The following is an 8381-nucleotide window of genomic DNA, read 5'->3' on the forward strand; positions in this document are numbered from 1 at the left end:
TTTGAGGGTAACCCGACCTTTCCCTCCGGCTGCCCTTAACATTTTTTCTTTCATTTCAACTTTGGTGAATCTGACAATTATGTGTCTTGGAGTTGCTCTTCTCAAGGAGGATCTTTGTTGCGTTCTCTGTATTTCCTGAATCTGACCGTTGGCCTGCCTTGCTAGATTGGGGAAGTTCTCCTGGATAATATCCTGCAGAGTGTTTTCCAACTTGGTTCCATTCTCCCCGTCACTTTCAGGTACACCAATCAGACGTAGATTTGGTCTTTTCACATAGTCCCATATTTCTTGGAGGCTTCGCTCGTTTCTTTTTATTCTTTTTTCTCTAAACTTCCCTTCTCGCTTCATTTCATTCATTTCATCTTCCATCGCTGATACCCTTTCTTCCAGTTGATCGCATCGGCTCCTGAGGCTTCTGCATTCTTCACGTAGTTCTTGAGCCTTGGTTTTCAGCTCCATCAGCTCCTTTAAGCACTTCTCTCTATTGGTTATTCTAGTTGTACATTCTTCTAAATTTTTTTCAAAGTTTTCAACTTCTTTGCCTTTGGTTTGAATGTCCTCCCGTAGCTCGGAGTAATTTGATCGTCTGAAGCCTTCTTCTCTCAGCTCGTCAAAGTCATTCTCCGTCCAGCTTTGTTCTGTTGCTGGTGAGGAACTGCGTTCCTTTGGAGGAGGAGAGGTGCTCTGCTTTTTAGAGTTTCCAGTTTTTCTAGAGTTTCTGTTTTTTCCCCATCTTAGTGGTTTTATCTACTTTTGGTCTTTGATGATGGTGATGTACAGATGGGTTTTTGGTGTGGATGTCCTTTCCGTTTGTTAGTTTTCCTTCTAACAGACAGGACCCTCAGCTGCAGGTCTGTTGGAGTACCCGGCCTTGTGAGGTGTCAGTCTGCCGCTGCTGGGGGGTGCCTCCCAGTTAGGCTCCTCGGGGGTCAGGGGTCAGGGACCCACTTGAGGAGGCAGTCTGCCCGTTCTCAGATCTCCAGCTGCGTGCTGGGAGAACCACTGCTCTCTTCAAAGCTGTCAGACAGGGACATTTAAGTCTGCAGAGGTTACTGCTGTCTTTTTGTTTGTCTGTGCCCTGCCCCCAGAGGTGGAGCCTACAGAGGCAGGCAGGCCTCCTTGAGCTGTGGTGGGCCCCACCCAGTTCGAGCTTCCCAGCTGCTTTGTTTACCTAATCAAGCCTGGGCAATGTCGGGCGCCCCTCCCCCAGCCTCGCTGCCGCCTTGCAGTTTGATCTCAGACTGCTGTGCTAGCAATCAGTGAGACTCCGTGGGCGTAGGCCCCTCCGAGCCAGGTGTGGGATATAATCTCATGGTGCGCCGGTTTTTAAGCCCGTCGGAAAAGCGTATTCAGGTGGGAGTTACCCGATTTTCCAGGTGCCGTCTGTCACCTCTTTCTTTGACTAGGAAAGGGAACTCCCTGACCCCTTGCACTTCCCGAGTGAGGCAATGCCTCGCCCTGCTTCGGCTCGCACAGGGTGCACGCACCCACTGACCTGCGCCCACTGTCTGGCACCCCCTATTGAGATGAACCCGGTACCTCAGATGGAAATGCAGAAATCACCCATCTTCTGCATGGCTCACGCTGGGAGCTGTAGACTGGAGCTCTTCCTATTCGGCCATCTGGGCTCCTCCCCCCTGCTTGATGTATTTTTACTAGTCTTTGGAGTCTTGCTTAACCCTTCTTTAAGAATCATCTCACTAGATTCTTCCTGTGATATGACAGTTCATCACTGACTGTTGTCTTATATCTGAAAAGTTGCTTCATATGTTTCATCTAGTTTTCTAGTTTTTTATGGTGAGGGTACTAGACTTCTGCAGTTTACTCCTCACAGCTAGAATAGACATTACATTTTATTGTCTTTTTCCCATCTGTGTCTTTTAACAAGCAGAAATATTTTTATTTTGATTAAGTCCAATGTGTCATTTTAGAAATGTTATTTTACTCTTTTTTTGTCTCTTCTCTGTATAATTTTTTCCTACTCAATGTTTATGAAGTTCTTTTTCTGTGCTTTCTTCCATAAACTTTGTAGTCCTAGTTTTCCATATTTAGTTCTGTGCTCCATCTTGAATCAAGTTTTTTGGTGCGATATAGGGGTTATGGCTCATTTTTTTTCTATGTAGATTTCTGGCATCATTTGTTGAAATCTTTCTTTTCTGCATTGAGTTCCCTTTGTGCTATTTTGGAAAATGAGTTGCTTTTGTATATGCGGGTCTATTTATGTGCTTTCTATTCTGTTTTGTTAATACACTTGTTCATTCTTAGGCCTATACCATACTGTCTTATTTTCTGCAACTTTATGGTAAGACTTGAAATCTGGTAGGTTGAATCCTTCAACTTTGTTTCTTTATAAAAGTCTTTTTTGGCTATTTTAGTGTCTTTACTTTTCCATATAAATTTTAAATCAGCTTATCACTCTCTTCAACAAAACCTGATGGGATTTTGATTGTAATTATATTATATCTTTAGATCAATTTGGAAAGAATTAAAATCTTAATATTGAGACATATAATCAATGGCAATTTTTTCCCATTTATTTTAATTGTCTTTAATTTCTTTCACCAATGTGTTGTAATTTTTAAGTGTAAAGATATTGCATTTTTTAAATTAAACCTATTCCTAAGCATTTCATGATTTAAAAATCTCATTGTACATGGCATTTTTGATTCCCTTTTCTAATTTTTGGAAAAAATTGTTTTATGGCCTATATATATAAATGTGATTAATTTTCATTTATTCATTTTATACCCTACTCCCTTATAAATTCAATTAGTAGTTCTAGGGTTTTTTGTTGTTTTTGTTGTTGTAGCTTTCTTTGTAGATTCCACAGGATTTTCTGTACATACAATTATCTCATCTATGAATAATGACAGTTTTACTATTTTTTCTCCAATCTTTCAGATTTCTACTTTTTTTTGTGTTATTGAACCGGTTTGGACCTCCAGTACAATGTTGAATGTAAGTGATGAGAATTGATTTCATTGCTTTTCTCACACTTAGTTAAGAAGGCAATGAAGATATCACCATTAACGTCATGTTAACTGTAGGTTTTTGGTAGACGCCCTTTATCACATTGAGTAAGTTCCTGCATACATTGTTTAATGACAGGGGTACATTCTTGACGGGGATACATTCTGAGAAATGTGTCGTTACGTGATTTTTGTCATTGTGTGAACATCATAGAGTGTACTTACACAAACCTAAATGATATAGCCTACTATACACCTAAGCTCTACGGTGTTTTTCAGCTCCATTATCTACTGCTCTGAGGCTACAAAACTGTACATCATATTACTGTACTGAATACTACAGGCAATTGTAACACAATGTAAGTACTTGTGTATCTAAACATATCTAAGCATAGAAAAGGTATAGTAAAAATACAGTATAAAATATTTGAAAATAGTACTCACGTATAGGGCACTTGCCATGAATGGAGCTTGCAGGACTGGAAGTTGCTCTGAGTGAGTCAGTGAGTGGTGAATGTTAAAGCCTATGTCATTAATGTACACTACTGTAGACTTTATAAGCACTGTATACTTAGGCTGCAGCAACTTTATAAAAGAATATTTTCATTCAATAATAAATTAACCTTAGCTTACTGTCACATAATAATTTTTAACTTTTTGACTCTTTTGTAGTAACACAACTTAAAACACAAACACATGGTATAGCTGTACAAACATATTTTATATCCTTATTATATAATGTTCTTACTATTTTTATTTTTAAATATTTAAACATCTGTTAAAAATTAAGACACAAACACACACATAAGCCTAGGCTTACACAGGGTCAGGATCATCCATATTGCTGTCTTCCCCCTCCACATTTTGTCCCACTGGAAGGTCTTCAGGGACAATAACACATGGAGCTGTCATTTCCTATGATAAAAATGCCTTCTTCTGGAATACCTCCTGAAGGACCTGCCTGAGGATACTTTACAGTTAACTTTTTAAAAAAATATAAATAGAAGAAATACACTCTAAAATAGTGATAAAAATTATAGTAAATTCATAAGCCAGTAATATAGTCATTTATTATCATTATCAAATATTAGGTATTGTACATAATTGAATGTGCTAGACTTTTATATGACCTGCAGTGCAGTGAGTTTAGTTACACCACCATCACCATGAACAAATGAGTAATGTATTGTGCTATAGAATTTTTCAGCTCCATTATTATCTTATGGGGTCACTAGCATAGATAGGTATGTGGCTTGTTGTTGACCAAAACATTGTTACAAGGCACATGACTATACCTACTAGTTTTCTGAGAGCTTTTATAATGAATAGATTTTGAATTTTGTCGAATAGTTTTTCTCCACCTATTATGCATTCTTTTTCTCATTTTGTTCTGTTAATATGGCAAATTAAGACTGACATTGATACAATTCACTTATCTTACTCAGGTTTCCCCAGTATTACTTGCACTCACTTGTGTATGTGTGTACTTAGTTCTATAAAATTTTATCATGCTTTTAGGTTTCTGTATCCACTACCAGTCAAGATAAATAACAATTTCATCACAAGGGTACCTTCTATTATAGCTACAGCTGCCTCCCTCCTGCTATTTCTCTCATCCCTAACCCTTAACAACCACTAGTCTGTTCTTCATTAAAAAATATTTTGTTATGTATTTATTTATTTATTTATTTATTTTGAGACAGAGTCTCACTCTGTCGCCCAGGCTGGAGTAAAGTGGCTCAAGCAATCTTCCCACCTCAGCTCTCCTAGTAGCTGGGTCCACAGGCACACGCCACAATGTCTGGGATCTTAAATTTTTTTGTAGAGACAGGGTCTCCCTATTTTGCCCAGGGTGGTCTTGAACTCCTGACCTCAAGCCATCCCCCTGCCTTGACCTCCCAAAGAGCAGGGATTACACACATGAACCACTGTACCTGGCCCCAAAATGTTTTATAAGTGGAATCATAGGTATGTAATCTTATGGGATTGACAAGTTGTATGTATCAATAGTCTGTGCCTTTTTATTGCTGAGTATATTGTACCGCAGTTTTACTATTCACCTGTTGAAGAACACCTGGGTTGTTTCCGGTGTTTGACTATTATGAATAAAGCTGCTACGAATGTTATGTACTGGATTTGGGGTGAACATATGTTTTCATTTCTCTGAGTTAAATGCCAGGAAGTGCGATTGCTGGGTTGTATAGTTGCATGTTTAGTTTTATAAGCACCTGCCAAACTGTTTCCCAGAGTGACTGGGGTTGAACTGTGTTCTCCCAAAATTTATATGTTAAAGTCCTCACCCCTCATAACTCAGAATGTGACCTTACTTGGAGATAAGATCTTTACAGAGGAAATCAAGTTAAATAAGGTCATTAGGGTGAGCTCTAATCCAATATGACCAGTGTCCTTATCAAAAGGGGAAATTTGGATACAGAGACATGCATTGAAGGAAGATGATGTAAAGAGACACAGGGAGAAGATGACCATCTACAAGCCAAGGAGAGGGGCATGGAACGGATTCTTCCCTCACAGACCTCAGAAGGGACTAATCCTACTGACATCTTGATTTTGGACTTCTAGCATACAGAACTGTGAGACAAAAATTTTCTTTTGTTTAAGCCACCCATTTTGTGGTACTTTATTACAGCAGCACTAGCAAACTTATAGAGGCTATACAATTTTACATTTTCACCAGCAGTGTATAAGTGATCCAATTAATTCACGTCCTCACTAGAATTTTATGTTGTCACTGTATTAGTCTGTTCTCACACTGCTAATAAAGACATACAAGAGACTGGGTAATTTATAAAGAAAAAGAGGTTTAATGGATTCACTGCTCCACGTGGCTGGAGAGGCCTCACAATCATGGCAGAAAGTGAGGAGGAGCAAAGTCACAACTTACATGGTGGCAGGCAAGAGGGCATGTGCAGGGGAACTTCCCTTTTTAAAACCATCAGATCTCCTAAGACTTATCCACTATCACGAGAACAGCACAGGGAAAAACCCTCCCCCATGATTCAATTACCTCCCACTGGGTCCTCACACAACACGTGGGAATTGTGGGAGCTACAACTCAAGATGAGATTTAGGTGGGAACACAGCCAAACCATATTCGTCACTATATGTAATATTATACATAATTTAATATATAATTATATATGTATGTAACTTATGTATAATTATATATACATATAATCTTCTGTCTCTTAATATATATACATATAATATTATGTATAATTATATATACATCTAATTTTTTTCTTTTTAATATATATATTTTTATTATACTTTAAGTTCTAGGGTACATGTGCACAACATGCAGGTTTATTACATATATATACATGTGCCATGTTGGTGTGCTGCACCCATTAACTGGTCATTTACATTAGGTATATCTCCTAATGCTATCCCTTCCCCCTCCCCCCACCTCACAACAGGCCCTGGTGTGTGATGTTCCCCTTCCTGTGTCCAAGTGTTCTCATTGTTATATACATATAATTTTATTTTTTTAGGGATGGAATCTCGCTATGTTGCCCAGGCTGGAGTGCAGTGGCTATTCACAAGTATGATCCCACTACTTATCAGCATGAGAGTTTTGATCTGCTGTTTCCAATCTGGGCAGGTTATTCCTCTCCTTAGGCAACCTGGTGGTTTCCTTCTCCTGGGAGGTCCCCATGTTGAAGCTGAATACTGAACTTAGTGCAGACAACCAATCAGCATAGGGCACCTCAGCCCAGAACTCCTGGGCTCAAGCAATCCTCCTGCCTCAGGCTCCTGAGTAGCTGGGTCTACAGGTGTGTGCCATCACGTCCAGTTGTCACTATATTTTTATTTTTGCCATTCTGATAGATGTGCAGTGATATCTCACTGTAGTTTTAACTTACATTTCACCGATGGCTAATGATGTTGAATAGCTTTTAATGTGCTTATTTACCATCTGTATATTCTCCTCAGTGAAATGTCTGCTCATGTCCTCTGCTGGTTTTCTCATTGGATTTTTTAAATGTTGAGTTTTCAAAGTTTTTGTATGTTATAGATATTAGTTCTTTGTCAGATAGCTGGTTTGCAAATACTTCCTTCAAATCTATGCCTTATTTTCATGTTCTTCACCTGGGCTTTTGCAAAAGAGAATTTTTAATTTTGATGATGTCCAGTTTGTTAATTTATTATTTTATGCATTATGCTTTTGGTGTTAACTCTAAGAATTAATTCCCTAGCCCTAGATCTTGCAGTTTTCTCCTATGATTTTTATAGACGTCTTATAGGTTTATGTTTTAAATTTAAGTTAATGTTTGATTTAAATTTTACATAAGGTGTGAGGTTTGAATTTTCAGTTGAAGTTGTCTCTGTGTGTGTGTGTGCATGCGTGCACACATGTTTGTAATTCCAATTGCTCCAACACTATTTGTTAGAAGGACTATACTTGCTTTATTGAATTGTCTTCACATCTTTGTCAAAAATCAGCTGAGCATATTTGTGTGGGTCCATTTCAGAGTTTTCTATTCTGTTCATTAACCTAGAAAAGAAAACACCAACAAATCCAACCATATCCTATCTATAAGAGATGTAATTTAGATTCAATGATACATATAGGTTGAAGTAAAAGGATAGAAAATAACATACTTACAAATATCAACCATAAAATACCTGGAGTGGTGATACTAATATCGGAATAATAAATAAATTTGTTCTTATGACAGGATGTCCCTTTGTCACCCACGCTGGAATGCAGTGGTGTAATTGCAGCTCTCTGTGGCCTCAAACTCTTGGGCTCAAGGGATTCTACTGCCTCAGCCCCCCAAGTAGCTGGGACTACAGGCATGTGCCACCATGCCAGGCTAATTTTTAAAATTTGGAAAGATAAGTTCTCACTATGTTGCCTAGGCTTCTCTCAAACTACTGGCCTCAAGTTATCCTTCTTCCTCGGCCTGCCAACATGCTGGGATTATAGGCGTCAGCCACCGTGCCCATTCTAATATCAGAATTTAAACAGAATTTAATACAAAAAAGTGTCACCAGAGATAAGGAGGAATATTATATAATAATAAAATGGTCAACTCCTCAGGAAGATATAACATTTTTATATATTTATAGATAATTATTTTATATATTTATTTTACATATAATATATAGATATTATTTTATATGTTTATATATAATATATAGATAATATTTTATATATTTATTTTATATATAATATATAGATATTATTTTATATATTGATTTTATATATAATATATACATATTTTATATATTTATAGAGACATGTTTTATAGGCTAGCAAGGCTAGCATATGGTCTATGCTGGAGAAAGTTTCATCTGCGCTAGAGAACAATGGGCATTGGCTATTGCTGGGTAGAATGCTGCACAGATTTGTCTTAGGTCTAATTGGTCTGTCTGTTATTGAAAGTG

At 37.8% G+C, this 8381-nt stretch overlaps 1 pseudogene, besides 1 other annotated feature; it reads right to left on the minus strand.

The window, feature by feature from the left end:
• Positions 778 to 1278: an enhancer, noted in NCBI's record as "NANOG-H3K4me1 hESC enhancer chrX:130262358-130262858 (GRCh37/hg19 assembly coordinates)". NCBI's record gives its function as "activates a minimal SCP1, AML or CMV promoter by ChIP-STARR-seq in primed H9 embryonic stem cells {active_cell/tissue: H9 hESC(primed)}" and the evidence as "EXISTENCE:reporter gene assay evidence [ECO:0000049][PMID:30033119]".
• On the minus strand, positions 6480 to 6781 carry RN7SL191P (RNA, 7SL, cytoplasmic 191, pseudogene; annotated as a pseudogene).

Source organism: Homo sapiens, chromosome X (genome assembly GCF_000001405.40).
Source record: "Homo sapiens chromosome X, GRCh38.p14 Primary Assembly".
Taxonomy (NCBI): Eukaryota; Metazoa; Chordata; class Mammalia; order Primates; family Hominidae; genus Homo; species Homo sapiens.